The sequence below is a fragment of the Homo sapiens genome, chromosome 1 (genome assembly GCF_000001405.40).
Source record: "Homo sapiens chromosome 1, GRCh38.p14 Primary Assembly".
Classification (NCBI taxonomy): Eukaryota; Metazoa; Chordata; class Mammalia; order Primates; family Hominidae; genus Homo; species Homo sapiens.
In genome coordinates this window covers 169,956,960-169,975,954 of record NC_000001.11, presented here as the reverse complement: position 1 = coordinate 169,975,954, position 18,995 = coordinate 169,956,960, and the positions used below count along the sequence as shown (strand labels likewise).

The following is an 18,995-nucleotide window of genomic DNA, read 5'->3' as shown; positions in this document are numbered from 1 at the left end:
CTGGAGTCAATACTTTTTGAATAGTTGTCCTAAAGATTATAACATGTTGATAATGGTGCAACAGGGAGATAAAAGATCTGCTGAGTTAAAATTTTCATAAAAACTTTGTGTCTTAAAATTGGATAAAGATCACTGAAGTGCTTTTCCAAAATACAAAACTCAGAAATGTTTTCTAAGCCAGGCATTCTGGTGCATGCCTATAGTCTCAGCTACCTGGGAGGCTGAGGTAGGAAGATCACTTGAGCCCAGGAATTTGAGGCTCCAGTGAGCTATGATCATGCCATTGCACTCCAGCCTGGATGACAGAACGAGGCTCTGTCTCTAAAAAAAAACTGAAAATAAAAAATAAATTTAAAAAATGTTTTGGAGTTGAAAAAACAGAATTTTTGTTGATGTCAATGGCATTTAAATCTGTCATGTTACAATGTATTACATATTAAAAATTATTGCAATATTTTATTTCACCATAACCTTTAGCATTTTATTGTAATTCTCCCTATGAATCCAATATGAATATTTGAAATAAATCTATTAGGCAATATTTTATTCCTTTTCTTATTTTTTGTTAGAAAGTTTGATCAATATTATTTGATATAATTTGAACAGAATACTTGATATATGAGATAGCTAGTGTAGACTTATTTTAGATAAATATATGATTTATATTCAGATATTTAAAATATTAAACTGACTCTCAACTGTGACTCAATCACATAAGAATTGAGAACTAATGCTGATCTCAACAACTGCAGTATGGGAAATAAAATACAGTTGGCCCTCCTTATTTGGGGGTTCCTCATCTGCTGATTTAACCATCCATAGATTAAATTCATTCAAAAAAAGTTCTAATAGAGAATAGAAATGCAACAATAAAAAACAGAAAATACAGTATAACAACTATTTACATAGCATTTATATTTTATTAAGTATTGTAAGTAATCTAGGAAGGATTTTAAGTATATGGGAGGATGAGCATAGGCCATATGCAGATACTACACCATTTTATATTAGAGACTTAAGCATCTGTGGATTTTGGCATCATTGGGGGATCCTAGAACCAGTCTCCCATGGCTGCTGAGGGAAGATTATAATCCACATTTGTCTAGATTATTTTAGATTCCCCTTGAGAATTTTAAAGATTTTTCTAATAATTTTTATTCTCACAAAACCATGTGAAGTATATAGAATAGATATTATTTATTTATTCATTAAATAAAAATTTATTGAGTACCTGTTATGATCTAAAACCTGGGGTACTATGGTGAATATGATAGGCAAAGTCTCTGCCCTAATGGAACTTACATTCCAATGGAGAAAAGAGACAGTCAATACATATTTTTTACATATTTTTAAAAAATGCACAAATACATTATTCTATATATTTTTTCTACATTTTAAATATATCTTTTTTAACCCTAAAAAAAAATAGTAAGAACCACTATGCAATATAGCCATGTAGCAAATCTGTACTTGGGTCCCCTAAACCTATTTTTAAAAAACAACAGTTTAAATAGTAAGTAACACTAATGAGTTAAGTCATCACTTTGCCACTAGTCATGATACTGTTGATAAAATTTTTTGGGTGTAATCAGTGATACAAATAATGGTATGTACTTGTGTACATGTGCTAGAGTTTCTTAGTAGAAATGTGTGGACTCTTTTCAAATTGTTTTAACTAAGACCAATTAATAGTATTGATGCAAGGTCACAACTTTTTTCTTCACTTCCTCTTTTAGATTCACCAAGGTTTCTTTATTAATTTGAATTTGCTTTATTATCTCCCTTCTGTCTTACTTATTTGTGATTATACATCCCATTTTTTTTCTTTTGGGATGCAAACTTAAATTTCAACATTCATGTTCACCAAGTTCTAAAGGAGTATATGTTTCTATTTGACAGTCTAATATCTCCACTTCTATTTTCCATGTTATTTGCTATCCAATATGATAATTTCACTTCATTTTATAACCCTTTTGTAACATCTCAGAATTAATCACTATTTTAATTATTGGTTTTTAAATAACAGTGCTTATCTAAAGTTTACAGTATGTTGACCAATTTCCTTATTTACTGTCTCCTGAATTCCATTTCTCTATTCGAGCTGACTTTCTTTCATAATCAAGTATATGCTTTTATACTTAGTGAATATTATCTATGGATAATAAATGTCTTTATCTGAAAATAACTATTTTTTCTCTTTAATAATAATTTAACAGAATATAGACTTCTAGGTTGACAGTTATTTCCCCCAGCAATTCGAAGATGTTTTTTCGCTTTCCCTTGGACTGCCAATGAGAAGTCTGTAGTCAGTCTAATTATTGTTATCTGTGATAAAGTCAGAGGAAAATTTAATTTCCTTTTCCTTATAAGTAACTTGGCCTTTCTTCCAGAAAGACCAAAGAAGTATTCTTTTTTTTTTTTTAATATCAAGTTTTTTTTACTAGAATTTGACTTGGTATATCATCCTCCATTGATTTTTCTAAGTATGCAAATGTGCACCTTTTTTTTAATTTCAGGAAAGTTTTCTTGAATTATAGTTTTTAGTATTTGTTTTGTTCTGTTACATTGGTTTTCTTCTTTGGGATTTCTATTGTGTTGGATCTTCTTAGTCTAATATCTGTCATTTTCTAATCTTTTTATCTCTTTTCACTTATTTTTATTTTAAAATTTATTCCTTTTGCTTCTGTTTCTCTTAGAATTTTATCTGTTGTGTCCATTTACTCTTTTGTTATCTTAATTTTTATATATCCAAAATGATTTTTGCTTTTGTTTTTGGTTCTTTTCTGAATTATTTTATTTCCCTTGGTTTTCTAATCCTGATTTGTGTTGTTTATATATATATATATATACACACTATTTTTTAAATTATTTTTATCTCTTTTGATATTTTAGGTTGCAGCTTTCTTTTATGTGAAAATGTTTTATCATGCCTTCTCTTTTTGACCATGAATCTCTCTTGTTAGTTTTGTTTGAAATTAGTTTTCCTGAATTTTTAGGAGAGCAGGATAGATCAAGAAGCATTTATAGCTACACAACTATAGAGCTTCCTCTTCATTTATGTTCATGATCCTCATGTATTCAGAAATGTGGTCTTGTACTTTCTGAGATTTACTGACTTTGTTTTCCTTACCCATTTTCATCTAGATTTTTCTCTTTTTTATGTCCCTACTATCCCTGTTTTTCTAAACAAATGAAACATTAAGTGTTTTTGGTCATCTTGTATTAATGATTTTATTTTAAAATTTGGGTTATATTTCCATTTAGAATTTAGATTTAGAAAAATATGAGATTTTTGTAGTATTATTGACTAGCCACAATATCAAATGTAGTTTGTTTCTTTAACCATTTTTATTCAGAGGCTCCAGCATATCTCATAGACCTAATGCATGATAAGAATAATGAAATCCGAAAGGTCTGTGATAATACATTAGATATTATAGCGGTAAGTAATTATTTTTTCTACACAAAGTATAATTGACTTCATCTTGGGGGAGAAAGTCATTGTAAACCTATTTTAAACAATGCATTCAGTGTAAACCCAACTTTGTATTTTGGTAAGATTCAGGATATACAATGATACTAAATTTACTTTTTAAACATTAGTAAGTTCTTTAGCTTTCAATTTTTAAGTCATCGGCTCCTTAAAGATGTTTTACAGGTATTCAGAGTTCTGATCTACATGTCATCACAGAGTCACTTGTTTTTCGGATAAATTATTGTATAGGAGTGGGGTGTTGGAAGACAGTTTCTGTCAAAACATTATCAATTTTGTGGTTTGGCCATTAAATTTTTTTAATAAATCAAATCTTGTATCAGCTATTTTTTTCACTTAATTGATAGTTTTATTTTATACATACAGTTGTCCTTTAAGTTGCTTTGAAATGATGGGAAATACAAAAATCTTACTGTTATTCATAGTTTTGGAGGTTTTTAAAGGATACATGACTAGAGGGATATGATCAAAGAGATGATCTAAGTGTTGAGTTAGAAACTGTGAACCATGCAGACTTATTGCCAGTAATTTTGCTGCCTACCACAGTCTTCTGCCTGGATTTGGGCCTTGCACCAGGGCTGTACCAGATACTCGATTATTTTGAGTATTTTTTATATATGGCATATACTGCTACGCACAACCACGTTGCTTTCTTTTTCTAACTGGATTTGGCTCACCTTTAGAAAGTTTATTGAATGTAGCCTACTCAGTAGTTTTAAAAGTTTAACTTTAGCTTTTTAAACAGATCAGAATAACATTTTTTTTTAAAAATCAATAACTTAGTTGGAAATCCACTAAGTTGGATTTTCTGCTAGTGATGTAATCAGGAAACTAGACAATCACCGTTAGGAACTTCATTGTCACTTTCTCACATTTTATTTCAGAAATTCATCTTAATTTGATATCATCTGTTTTTTGGATTTGACTAAGTATCCATTACTGGTGTAGAACTAAATGGATACGTTGACATTTTAGCTTTGATTTCTAAGTCAGAATAGAGAAACTGTACATATTAAATCCTCATTCTATGAAGACATTTCACACATAGGTCACTGATCACAGGGCTTATGAATACAGAATATTTAATGTGCCTAGAGAATAATTTCATGGCTCATGTACTATTTTCTAATAGATCACAGTGCCATTGTTGCATATAAAGTATATAGTATAAGAACAAAAAACTTCTTATAGTTCTGTATGTGATTATCTTACTTGAAGCAACGAGGAAAGGAGGGAGTTGTCAGTCTGTTATGCATTACATTTAGCATACTTTTTATCTACCTTCTGTCTAGGAAAGGTAACTAGAAGATAATGTTTAGATTTACAGATTAAGTGTATGTGGTTTAGAATGTAAGTTGATAGTTCTCAAAGGCCAACTCAGCCTTCATCTAAAAATATTTTGTATAAAATACAAATGTATTTATTATAAAATAGAAATTTATTTCAAATAATTTCTAAACTCTGAGCTTAAGTCTCTCATCTTAAAACTGGAGTCACCCCAACCCTGTGTCTCTTTTCTCTTCTAGATACTGTCTTAGCTCTCCTTCTTTCTAGATCCAAAGTTTCCAAACAGCTGTCTATATTTTACTTCCTTCATTTCCGCACTTTAAACCTATGAAAATTCTGGCTTCTGCTTCCATTGCTGCATTGAAATGGTGTTCACTAAAAAGACCATCAAGGGAGAATGTGAAGTTTTTGTTCAGTTAGCATTAGTAATGGCTAAATAACAAACTTTTTAAATTATAAGAAACCTGCTTAGGAGAGGAGTGGATGATGTCTTAAAATTCTTTTTACCTCTAGATAATGATTTCCTAGTATTCTCAGCATGACTGTATTCTATAATAATAAAAAATCCAAAAAATATATAGACAGAATGGGAATATTTGTAGCTTAAAGCAATTTACCTGTAAGAAAACAAACTTATCTTCCACTGAAGACAGACAGTGCAGAATAATACTAAGAAAAATTAGATGCCTTGAAAGCCTTGGGGAAATATACTTTCTGCAGTAAAGTACTTGTCCCCCAAATTATGCAAATATTATACTAGTGAAGATTTGTTTAATGTAGTTGGGCCCAAGCCCTCAACTGATGAATTGAAACAGGTGTGCGGTGGCAGTACTCTGGATACCAAGGAGGATTACATCACTTGTTTACATGATACAGTCTCTGTGGCCTCATCAGCACATTGTCACCTGTGTGACTACGTTACTTGTAGCTTGGGGAGGCAGGGAATGGTGTAGGTACAAAGAGGAGCAGGAAGGCAAGGAGAGAGAAGCCTATAGCTAGTTGGTCTTCCAAGGGAATTATAAGTCAGTTGACCATTGCCTTTTTCTCTTCCATGAAGGCAATCATGGGAATCATGAAGGGAAGAACATCACCTACCCCTCCGATCTAGAGAACTTCTAAAAACTCAATTAGATTTGTATCCTTCAGTACATCCTCAGCTTTGTGTGAAGTATTTGAGAACCTCAGAAATCCTCCCCTGATATTTCTGGTTTGTCAGACATTTAATACATGTTTATTAAGCACCTATTATGTGCCAAACACTAAGAAAGACACTGAGAACACAAAACTCAACAATACAAAGTTCCTTAATATAAAAATTTACAATCTAGACCCCAGAGAACACTGAGATACTATTCTCTAAACATGTGAACTGGCATTCCAGAAGCAGTACTACTACATGGCCTATCACTAGATTATTTGTACTAACGGCACACTGTATCTACAGGGTGTTTACAGGAAAAGGGATATAACCAGGTTCTCTGGTGAAAGAGTGATTTCTGTCATCTTTCTAGCCAGTGTATGATTTAGTAGTGACATAGGTTCGTGTCACTGAGATTTTGAATGGTACCTCTTCCTTTTTTAATAACTCTTAATTATGATCATGGGCAGATTGTTTTTATTTTAATAATCTGGAATTAATAGCAAGCTCTAATATTCTAAACTTGGAAAAGTAGGTGCTACCTTCATTCCAGACAGACAAAATTGTACTTAATAAGGCTGGTTTATTAAAAGGAAAGAAACCAATATAGCTTTAAATGTAGCTTCTACATCACCCGTTGTTATGGTCTCTGCAAAGATAACCAAGGAAGCCTGTGTCAGAGAAAAGGTGGTCTTATTAATAATCTTGCCAGTAAGGGAGAACACTTTAAGAAGTATCTTACAACGTCTTGAAGAGAAGTTACAGAGAAGGTTTTATAGGGTTAGGGTTAGCATTAGAACTCAAGCTTTCAAGAGCAGGGCATGGGTAAATGCTGGTCACTTTTAATTGGCATGCAAGTTGGATGTGGGAGTAGTGATTTTCAAGTGAATTGTTGGCAGAAATTTCTAAAATTTTCTCTTTCCAGACCAAGCAGAACTGGTTCTTGCTTGTTTTGCAGTCTTGGTAAATTCTTTTATTTCTCAGTGTAAGTTTGATTTTTATTTCTTAATCCCATATACTCTAATTGGGTTTAATGAGATAAATTTAGTCAGCCCTCTTTTATAGTTCATCTTTATATTGCGTAAACCAAAAGGCGGACATTTAGGATATTTTTCCAACTTGTTAGAATTTAAGCATATACACACATAATTTTATACATAAATGTGTGTGTTTCCTACCTGTTATGCATGTTACTTTTTTTTTTTAATTGGCAACATTTGGACTTAAAAGAACCCATGCATAGTATGAAAGAAAAAAAATTATTTCTTACTTAAATAAATTTTATTTAGTTATTTCTTTTACTTTGTGGTCAAGACTAAAGGTCAACACTTGGGGCAGTCTTATTGAGAAATAGATAGTATGTGCATAAAAATCAACTTTATTATGTATGTTAAATTATGTGTATGTCTATCAATATTATTGGGATAAATATTTTTTAAGATATAAAAAGTATCTTGTTAGCAGCTACCACCGTAACTTTAATGAGCAACTAAATTAATCCAGACTTGCTTTAATTTAGTATGAAAAATTATATTAAATAAACCATATTACAGTCTCAATTAGGGGGCTGCCACATTAAAGGAAAAAGGAAAATCTGTTTTCCATCAGTTATGTTAGAACACAAAGCAGATCTATGTAGCTCTGTGTTATCCTATAGTGTGTTAATCAGATACAAGGTGTGACGGAAGCCAGTGACAAAGAGTTTTCCTGATAGTGAACAGGCTCTGATAATAGGCTAGTTAAGGCTTCATAATGTTTCGGTGGTTAACTAGTAAACAAAATGATGTAGGACTTCAAAAAGGATGGCACATTCCATGTAAAATCAAACCATCAGTCTTTCACGACACTTTAGAATTTATGGATACTGAGTGCTTAAAATCATAATGTCAGGAGCTAAGAAGAGAAGGAAATAAAAAACAAAGCATGTTTTTCTTTAAATACACAATAGACTCAAGTCTCAAAGCCAAGACACCAGGGTGTACTCCTTGTGAAAAGAAGTATTTCAAAAATGAAGAAAAAACTATAATCCTAGAATATTTCCACAAAGGCTTTGGATAGGTTTTGATGACATACCTTAGCTGTGATTCAGCTGTGATATCCCTGAATTCTCATAATTATTTTCTGATATGGGGCTGGGGGTATAGGGGAGTGAATAATAAGAAGGGACTAGAGATTGGTGGATGGGGTTAGAGAAATTTATTTTAATGATGTATGTTGATTAAAATTTTTTGACATTGGGTTTTCATTTAAGAATTGCTTGTTAACTTTATAAAAGAAACTCCTATCCTACCAGTATTTTTCAGTTATTTGGGATAGTTATTTCAACAGCTTTATGAATTCATGGTATAAATCATAGGTTTTTATTTAGAATGTTAGAGCTTAAGTAAGTCTTAGTTTTGTTTCATTTTACAAATGAAGAATCTGAGACCAAGAGAGATTAGAATACCTTTAGAAGGTTGCATACTTCAGTTAGTAGCAGAGCTAGAACCAGAGCCCAGGTCTCCTGACTCCTAATCCAATGTTCTTTATATTATGCAGTACCATATTATTAATAGCTATAAATGCAGATGCTGAAACACAAAGAAACTCACTTTGCCATGGCTACTAAACTATATTCATTGAGGATTCCCAGAGCACATAGAGAAGATAGAGATTCCCGAATGATGGTCCATAGGAATGTGATACAGCAAATTGTCACTGAAATGGAAAAGGGAAAAAAATAAAAAAGGAAAGTTTTGTCCAGGAGGGGGATATAATGTTGTTAACATGTTTTATTTTGGGAAAGTACTGTGTATCTTTACTTTGAGATTCTTTCTCACATTTTTTAGTCTGCAAATGACCCTTTAATAAAACAGGTATAGTAGGTGGCAGTTGATTTACTTTTAATATTTGTCCCCCAAATGTGCTTTTGAACCTTTCCTGAAGTCTAAAACCATTGTCTTAGCCTATTAATTTACTGTACTTGGTAAATAGAATCTCAACAACCATAAGCTAAAATATTTCATTTTCAAGAAATCTGGTAAACCTTTTCAGAAACATAAACATAAATGGTCAGCATTATACAGCAAAACAATGCTATTTCATTTGATTCTAAGTAACATTTACTACTAAGGAAAAGGAGAAGTAAAAATATTTTAATGAATATTGTGTTCCTTATGGCATATTTCATTCTAAGATGCTTTATTTGGTAAACAGTTGAAAACCTGAGGCAACATTATCACAAACTAGAGCAAACTTTTATGGCACAAGTCCAATATCTCAATAATATTTCATACTCAGCCTGTAAATTTTTTAAACACATATTTTAAAATATTTTCCAGTTATCCATTGATGTTAGAGTTAAGAAAGTCATTGAAAACTGGTGGGATATAGTATTGTGGTTCTATCTTGCTAAAGTTTTTATAGGCATTTTTCCTGTAATTTTCCATTTTCAACAATGAAAATATTACTTTTATAATCATGAAACTCCAAATATTATTTCAAAATTATGTTATGACTCTTTAAGACTTTAAATGGAAAAACTTTTAAGGCTTTCATACTGTTAAGCCAAGGTTTTTTTTTTTTTTTTTTTTGCCATTTTCCGTCTATGATCTATAACAAAGAACCATACACACATATTTAATTTCAAGGCCACCTCTTAGGAAAACTCTGCTTGCCAATGTAGTAGATTCATCCTAGTAGGATTCTGGAATCATTGTTGGATCTTTTGCAAGATATAATTTTCAATATCCTAAATACACAGTTTGGTATAGAATAACATGTGCTGTGTCGTATTTCCTGAGAGAAGAGCTGTTTTGCTTCTTTTTTAGAGCTGAGAAAATAACCGTGGTATTTTTACTGTGATCCTGTAAACAATAATGCATGTTAATTAGTATGTTAGTCGTAGAGATTAAACCTATTGTTTTATAGTACGAAATGCTTAAAAGTTAGAATACAATTATTTTAAGTAAGAAAATGATAGTACAATCTGTATCATTGCTACCATACTTTTTAGGCTTATAATGTCAAGAGATGCACTGGTTCTATACAATAATTCAATAAAAAACTGATAAAAGAGAGAAGGTGAAAATTTTAAAGGAATGTGTAAGGGCAGTCATTACATTTGGTGCTAGGTTCTGTGCTAACTCACTGCCTTGGAAGATCAGTTTTACCAAGAAAATATCAAAAGTTAGTCATGGATGCTCATGGATATTTTTGGTTTGTGTGTTTGGACTTTTGTCAAATAGATTTGATAATCTCTTTTTAAACTGAGCCTTGTATGTATACGTTTATTAATAAGAATAATGATGTAAGCTCGTAGGGTGATAAGAAGGCTAAAGTTAGAAGGGCAATTGTTTATGAAGAAACTTCTTTGTTACACATTTTTACATTTATTAGATATATTTTTGTTATTGTTAAATTAGGATAATCTTAAAAGAGGGTGTGAAATGATAACTCGGAGTAAGCAGGATTTTTGTTTGTTTTTGCAAAGCATTACTTCCTAGGCTAAATACATTTTGCGGAAATGTAGTTTAAGGATATTTTTATTTTAAATATTACCTACCTCTGTAACATTTCACAGGTATTAGTAGGAGTCAAGTTTTACTCTTACTGGAATAGCAGACCACATATTTTATATGCTTTGGGCACTTGACTGAATTTTAACCCCTGTTTTACACCAGGAATGAATATGCTTGAAATTTAAATTACAATGAAATCATCAGATCGTATGATTTTTCTTTTTCCTTGAAGGAATACCTCTTTGTTGAGATAATTCAATCAGATTTAAATTTTTCTACCAAAATGAAAAATTAGTTTTATGCCTCTTCCCAAGTGAAACAAGCTACTTACTATTCTTTAAAAAAATAACATTCAAATTAGTTCTGTATTTAATGTGGACTTGCTAGGATTTCTAGTATTTTATAAAGCATATTCTGAGAGTTTTGGTAACCTGCAACCAACTTATTTTTTAGAAAAAAAGCCAATTAGTATGGACAATTTGTCCACATTATCATTTTGCTTTTTAATGTATTAAATGTCTTACCCTAATGGATATAATAAATTTATCCTTTCTTTCTACTGTATGATTATGTGATCACTCTTTGTAAATTATCTGGCCATTTCTAATATGACAGTATCTTTCTGCAGCTAACTTTAATTGAGCACATACACAGACACACATATGGCAACAAAAAGTGTACTCTTGTGAAGTTATATGAATCTTAAAGAGGTTCACAGTTATATTTAGCATTTAGGCTAAATTACTTTGAAGCTGATCATATGCCTATATTACATAATGAGGTATCGCTTGGTATTTTATTTAATTTTGGAAGCCCAAAGTGAACCACAAAACTGCTTGTAAACAACATCTCTGTGCATATTATTTTTCAACTCCCTCTTTTCCCAATACCCACCCAAGTATGGCCAGCTCAGTGAGAGCATGATTGAGAATACGATAGGATAATATTAATATACTTACCAGACCAGAAGCTACTTCTTCCAATATCACTCCTTGGTCAATGACTTCCTCCCATATCACTGCTTGCTTACGAAATCTTAGAACTGAAAGTTGTCCCTGGGGGTTATTTGTTATATTCTCATTCAATAAAGAATCCATTCTGCAGGAACCCTGACAAATGTTCATTTATCCTCTGTTTAACTGCCTCTTCCACATTGCTGGCCCGAGGCTTACAGTGCTGTAGTAGCCACAGCCAGCTGTGTACCCTGGATCAAGTTACTTCAGTGTTCAGGGCCTCATTTTCTCATTTGTAAGATGTTGATAATTATGGCACATATGTCAGAGAGCCGTTACTTTAATTAAGGTAATGGCTAACATTAAGTGTTCTCAATATAAGTTATCTAAATGCTTTATATGTATTATCTCCTTTTGGCAGAATAATTTGTGTGTGATCAGTGATTGGGTGGTTGTATAAATTACCATCACATTCAGTCACTGTGACCACATCAGTAATACTAAGGAGGTATGACATTTGGATTTATTATTTATATCTGAATAGTCTATTTCAAGTATAGTTTAGTATCAGATTTAACTGACGTAAAGATCTTCAGTTGATCTTTATCAACTGAAAATAATTTAATATCTTCAATTATTAAAACTATCAGTTGAATAAAAATGTTTATTATTTTTACATAATGTTTATGATAGCTCTTAATTTTATGCAACTTAATTTTAAAAAATAATATTAGGAAATAGATTGATGACTAATAGAAATGTTAATAGATAACTATTAGAAAAGAAGTCCTGGCCAGACACGGTGGCTCACGCCTGTAATCCCAGTACTTTGGGAGGCCGAGGCAGGCAGATTACCTGAGGTCAGGAGTTCAAGACCAGCCTGGCCAACATGGTGAAACCCCATCTCTACCAAAAATACAAAAATTAGCCAGGTGGTGGTGGCAGGCACCTGTAATCTCAGCTATTCTGGAGGCTGAGGCACAAGAACCACTTTAACCCAGGAGGCAGAGGTTTCAGTGAGCTGAGATCGTGCCACCACCCTCCAGCATGGGTAACAGCAAGACTCCATCTCAACAACAACAAAAAAAAGGTAAAAGAAAAGAAGTCCCATTATTGGGTATATACCCAAAGGAATATACATTGTTCTACCATAAAGAGACATGCACATGCATGTTCATTGCAGCACTGTTTACAATAAGCAAAGACGTGTAATCAACCTAAATGCCCATCAACAGTAGACTGGCTAAAGAAAATGTTATACATATACACCATGGACTATTACACAGCCATAAAAAAGAACGAGATCATGTCCTTTGCAGCAACATGGATGGAGCTGGAGGCCATTATCTTAAGTAAACTAACACAGGAACAGAAAACCAAATACCACATGCTCTCACTTATAAATGGGTGCTAAAACATTGAGTACACATGAACACAAAGAAGGGAACAAGAGACATCAGGACCTACTTAAGGGTAGAGGGTGGGAGGAGAGTCAGGACTGAAAACTACCTATTTGGTACTATGCTTATTACCTGGGTGACAATCTGTACACCAAACCCCCATGACACACAGTTTACCTATATAACAAATCTGCACATGTATCCCTGAACCTAAAATAAAAATTAAAAAGAAAATCAAGTTTAGTAATTTGGTAGCAAAATTGTCACTAGCATTACTATAGTCAAAAAATATCCTCTACCTTCCCCAACTTCAGTTGAAAGGGAGCAGCTATATATTTTTTAAATGTACATTATAGCACATGCAATCTGACAACTGACACTGCTAGGATTTGCTGATAATGTGAAACTTCAACAAGTTAAAATTTTAACAAGAAAATTACAATAATAATTACATTTATTATAAAGTCTCAGATTTTATTTTTATATCCCAGAAATGTATTATGTGATTGTGATTTTGATTTGAGTCTCAGCTTGAGTTGAAAAATTGCTTAGCATTTAACTAAAATATATATTTGGTCTACCTCTTAGTTTTTGTGATCACCTTAATAGTGCTATTACCCTGCATCCCTCTAACTCCTTTTTAGACAGCTGTAACCAAATGTGTTTAAAGATATGACAGAGGAATTTAAAACCAAGAACTCTAACAATGACATGAAATATCTGAAGCCTTTTATTTTCTATCCATGCTATCATTTCTGCTGTCCATTGTTAAAGCAATACACTACTCAGTAGTAGCTGCAACCTATGGGACAAGTAGTAGATGGAGAAGTTCTGCTGTAGCTTACAGTAATTTGCCTGTTTGTCCTTCAAAACCATTCACCAAGAACTTTCTTTCTGACAAGTGTTACAGATACACCTGTCAGTGAATAACCTAATCTTGCTCCATAGGAGTTTATGATCAAAACAAGAAGCATTTAAAGAAATAATTACAACTAAATAAGATAAGATCATTAATTTGTGGTTGGAACAAAAATTAAATTCAATTCTGATATTTGTTTTCTTTAGTAAACCATTTTAGCAGCTAAAACAATACTTTAACAGTACTTCCCCCAGTGTTATCTAGACTAAAAGATACAGCAAAATATGTCATTTTATGCTAACTACCTGTCATTAGTGCCACAAATGCAGTTGACTCTTGAACAACACAGGTATTAGGGGACCAATCCCCCTACACAGTTGAAAATCCATGTATAACTTTTAACTCCCCCAAAACATAAACTAATAGCCTACTGTTAACTGGAAGCCTTACTAATAGCATAAACAGTTGATTAACACATATTTTGTATATGTATTATATACTGTATTCTTACAATAATGTAAGCTAGAGAAAGGAATATTTTTAAGAAAATCATAAGGAAAATATATTTACTATTCACCAAGTGGAAGTGAATCATCATAAAGATCTTCATCATCATTGTCTTCACATTGAGTAGGCTGAGGAGGAGAAAGAAGAGGAGGGCTTGGTTTTGCTGTCTCAGGGGTGGCAGAGGTGGAACAAAAATCCGTGTATAAGTGGACCTGTGCAATTGAAATCCATTTTGTTCTAAGGTCAACTTTAATTATAGTCACAAGAACTCTTTGGAAACTGAAGTCTTACTGCTCGCTTAAATTCTGGCAATATTTATGTAATATTAAATAAGAATTTATGAAATTTAAACTTTTCTAGTGTTTGCCATTGCCATTAGTGATCGATAATACAAACACAGACTTCTTTATGTATGTAATTGCTTTTTGTTGGCTATTATATAAAATAATCCTGAACAGGTATTTGTAGTGCTTCCTCTGACCCAGTGAAGGGCCCCCAAAATTCTCAAGAGATAAAAATATTGCCGTCTGAGTGCCAAGTGAGTTAGCTTATATAATAACAGTTGACTGTTTGTTTTCAATAGGAATATGATGAAGAATGGGCTAAGAAAATTCAGAGTGAAAAGTTTCGCTGGCATAACTCTCAGTGGCTGGAGATGGTAGAGAGTCGTCAGATGGATGAGAGTGAGCAGTACTTGTATGGTGATGATCGAATTGAGCCATACATTCATGAAGGAGATATTCTCGAAAGACCTGACCTTTTCTACAACTCAGGTGATAACCAAAGCGAAAGTAAACAGTTTATTATATGCTATGAATAGAGATTTTAGTCGGCCAGCCTTGCACATTCCCAAGCTTAATAAGCACTTCTTTTAGTTTATGAATGGTCTGCTAATGATTTTAGATGTAACGTCTATATATAATAAGCAAACCTATTAACTTACCATTTTTTTTTCCAAGTTAGTCTTTGATGGAATCTCCCTAAAACGCTGTAGCAAGGAAAATTAATTGTTCTTAGATGTTTATTAATTGCTAGAATGTGTAACTTAAATGGACAACTTCAAGATTTCTGACTTCCGTTCAAAAATGTAATATTCATTTTTCTTCTGCATTTATTAAATGCATAATTTATTCATCATTTGTTTTCCAAGGTATTTAATCTTAACAGTTTAATTTTGCCATGGTTTTGCTTTAGTTTCAAACTACCAAACTCTATATGGTAACTTTGGGGACGATTTAGGCACTTTAGAGTAATTGTTTATTCTTTCTAAACTATGCTAATGTTTTTAAGGTAAAATTTAATATTTATGTAAATCTTACATGTATTATAACCTTTTTGATTCTGCATTACTACCTTTTTCCAAGGATGAGTTTGACACAAAGATTGGTAAGTTTTTGCATATTCCAGCTCTCACTGTTTTGTACTGTTGCCAACATTAATATTACTTCATTGAAGTCATTTAGTTGAGGAGAGGAAGGAAAGGATTTCTATAATAATTAAAATCTCTAGCAAGTTGAAGATAAAAATCATTAAGGTGATTATATCTGAATTAGTGACTCACCTTATTTTCTACTATGTGTTTCTACTATGCATTTAGTGTTCTCAATATATGTTCTCTAAATATTTTGTGTATTATCTCATTTTATCTGAACAATTTGATCAATGATTGGATGATTATGTAAATTACTATTACATCTGATCACTGTACTCACATTAATAATACCACTCACACTTTCATTCATGTGTTTTCTTAATTGTGTATTGTGCAAATTTTCCATAGATATTATGTATTATTTTTTGTATTTGGTATAGATACTTAAATCATGGAAAACTTATGCTTTACTCTGAAAATCAAATAGATTTCTTCCTAACTGAACTTTACAGTAGTTAAGAAATGCTGCTTTGTGTTTCAAACCAGATGGAGTAGATCATTAATTTCAACCAAACAGAATTTCTTAGTTCAGTAATGGCAAACAGCTGTTCCTTACATATTCAGTATTCATGAAGTAAGATGATATAAAATATATATGATGTGAATTTTTTTAATAGAAATCAGAATATTCTTGGAATCAAGTTTCTTGCTTTGAAGATTGATAGCTAACTTTCATAATGAATCAATTACCAGTTTCCAAAACCAGATAAAGCTATTAACCACCTCAGTATTCATCATTGTTGTTTTAATACAATTAAAATTTCAAAACAGATTTCTAAACAGTTATACCACATTTCCAAAATTAATTTAAATTAACCTCTTAAAGTGAAAATCCTAAATATTTTTCTGATACTTTTTAATTACAATGTATAGGTTATGCTTTTGTGAGAAAACAGTTATGTATATTTTCATACACCAAAACTTAGAAACATTTAGGTTTTTTTAATCTATAGCCTGATGATATGATAGACATTTGACAGTAGAAATTACATGCTGTGAGTCTAAAACTAAATTTCTTATAGCAAGCAATTTTTTTTAGTTTAGTAATTATTTTACCTACATCATTTTCCATGGATAGTCCATGGACTAAATGAATCCCTGTAGCATTTCTTGATGTGTCTCATGGAAATCTAGATAATATCAGCCTCCTTTCCTTTATTGTGTATGATTGTAGCATCAGAAAACGTCAGATAAATTTGTACTCCTGCAGATTTGTTTGAATGCTTGAGCCATGTTTTTAAGCCTCTGCGTCTCCCTGAAAATTTAGGCTGTTTCTGATAAGAACAGCTTTAGCAGCTTTTCAGCCACAGAGGTTAAACTGAGAGGCTCGTAATTCCCTGGGTCTTATCTTTTACTTTAAAATGAAATGGCATGTGCTATTTTCTAGTCATTAGCATCATTCTCTGTATTTTCAGACGATTTAATAGTCAAATGTATATGATTCTCCCATGTTTTTTAAAAAAAAATCTTAGTATTATGTGAAATACAAAACTAGCATCTCCTTTAGTTACAGTATTTTTTACTTAGTCTAAAATTATTGTGATTGTAGTCATTAATTAATGTCCTTTGCTATTATGAAAATGAAGCTGTTTGCTTTAGTACTTTTACCCATAGAGGAAATATTTTGTCATTTATAAAGCCGTATTGCTACTACATATATCTAAATGACTTTTTATTTTTTAATTGTTCTTCATTAATTTTAGTGAATCTTAGTATGTGAATGTATTACTGGAATATGAAGCTTAAAATGGTTTGTTCTATCTCAGGAATATTGTAAAAAACATAGTTTTCATACTACCTATGTATTTCTGTGATGTGTCTTGTAAAGTATAGTCAAATAAATTATTAATAAGATTCATCATTTTAGTTATTTCTTTTTCTCATACTCTACACTATTGACATCTATTTTCTCCCATACCGTCACAATTTCACCTTTAGCTAGTTCACCAAAAAGCCCAATATTATATTTTCATTTGACTTTAAGAAATAAAAAGAGGTCGGGCATGGTGGCTCACAGCTCTAATGCCAGCACTTTGAGAGGCCAAGGCAGGAGGGTTGTTTGAGGCCAGGAGTTCAAGACTAGCCTGGTCAATGTAGTGAGACCTCGTCTCTACCAAAAAAAGAAAAGAAAAAGAAATTACCCAGGCATAGTGGCATGTGCCTGTAGTCCCAGCTACTCAGAAGGCTGAGGTGAGGGGATTACTTGAGTCTTAAGAGCTCTGGATTATAGTGAGCTATGCCAATCGGGTGTCCCCACTAAGTTGAGCATCAGTATGGTGACCTCCTGGGAGTTGGAGACACCAGATTGCCTAAGGAAGGGTGAACTGGCCCAGATCCAAAAGGGATTAAGTCAAAACTCCCATGCTGATCGGTAGTGAGATCATGCCTGTGAACAGCCACTGCACTCCAACCTGGGCCAATTATTAATAGCAAGACCCTGTCTCTTTAAGAAAAAAAGTTGGCCTGGCACAGTGGCTCATGCTTGTAATCCCAGCACTTTGGGTGGCCAAGGCAAGTGGATCACTTAAGGTCAGGAGTTCGAGACCAGCCTAGCCAACATGGTGAAACCCCGTCTCTACTGAAAATACAAAAATTAGCCAGATGTGATAGCACACGCCTGTAATCCCAGCTACTCGGGAGGCTGAGACAGGAGAATCGCTTGAACCCGGAGGTGGAGGTTGCAGTGTGCCAAGATCACACCACTGCACACCAGCCTGGGCAACAAAGCGAGACTCCATCTCAAAAAGAAAAAGAGTTAAAAAAAAAAGAACTGTATTTCAGTAAGAGTATATGATATACAAGATGATATATAAGAAGATACTGAGTTTTTGTATTTTTTTTAATTCACAATGTTTATAAGCCAGTTTTTTAAAACTGGCTTTCAGAAATCAGAAGGTTGATAAATTACCTGTGTTGACAACAAATTTGCTTTGGTTTCATCACTGTTCTAGTATATGCTCTGTTTTGTTCATAACTGCCTTTATCATCTTACTTGGGGCATCTCAGAAAGGTGTGCTTTATAACTGTGGTCTAAAAGGTTTTATATAATTGAGTACTGTAAATGTGTATAATACTCTATAGCTTAGAGTGTTATGGTGTATATCATCTGTGTTTCCTGTTTGTTCTCTGGTCATTTAAATGTTCCATGAAATACTTTAGTTCCTTGTTAATATCTTTGAAACAAGTTTAGAGTAGGAATTTAAGACACTCCTAGATTTATTTGGAGAATAAATAAGAAGCTATGATTCTTTTTTAATATTTCCCTAAAAGAATTAATTTTGGTGGAACAATGTTAAGAAAAAATAAGATATTTCCAAAGAAGTTGAGGTGCTTGGGATGAGAGGCTTTAACAGAATTTTTATACCTCATTCTAGTAAAGAAAGATTACTCATATGTCAGAGCTGCCTAACTTTTGTCAAGCCATAAA

At 32.5% G+C, this 18,995-nt stretch overlaps 1 protein-coding gene and 1 pseudogene across 9 annotated transcripts in view; both read left to right on the top strand.

Annotated features, from left to right (window-relative positions):
• The window catches only part of KIFAP3 (kinesin associated protein 3), a 163,856-nt gene that overhangs the window by 109,230 nt on the left and 35,631 nt on the right, over positions 1 to 18,995 (top strand). For all 9 annotated transcript variants that reach the window (XM_024454186.2, NM_001204516.2, NM_014970.4 and 6 more), the window contains 2 exons: positions 3,357 to 3,442; positions 14,720 to 14,909. In XM_024454186.2, the coding sequence (XP_024309954.1) occupies positions 3,357 to 3,442; positions 14,720 to 14,909 (276 nt within the window). The remainder of the gene's footprint in view (positions 1 to 3,356; positions 3,443 to 14,719; positions 14,910 to 18,995) is intronic.
• RN7SL269P (RNA, 7SL, cytoplasmic 269, pseudogene) lies at positions 17,709 to 18,013 on the top strand (annotated as a pseudogene).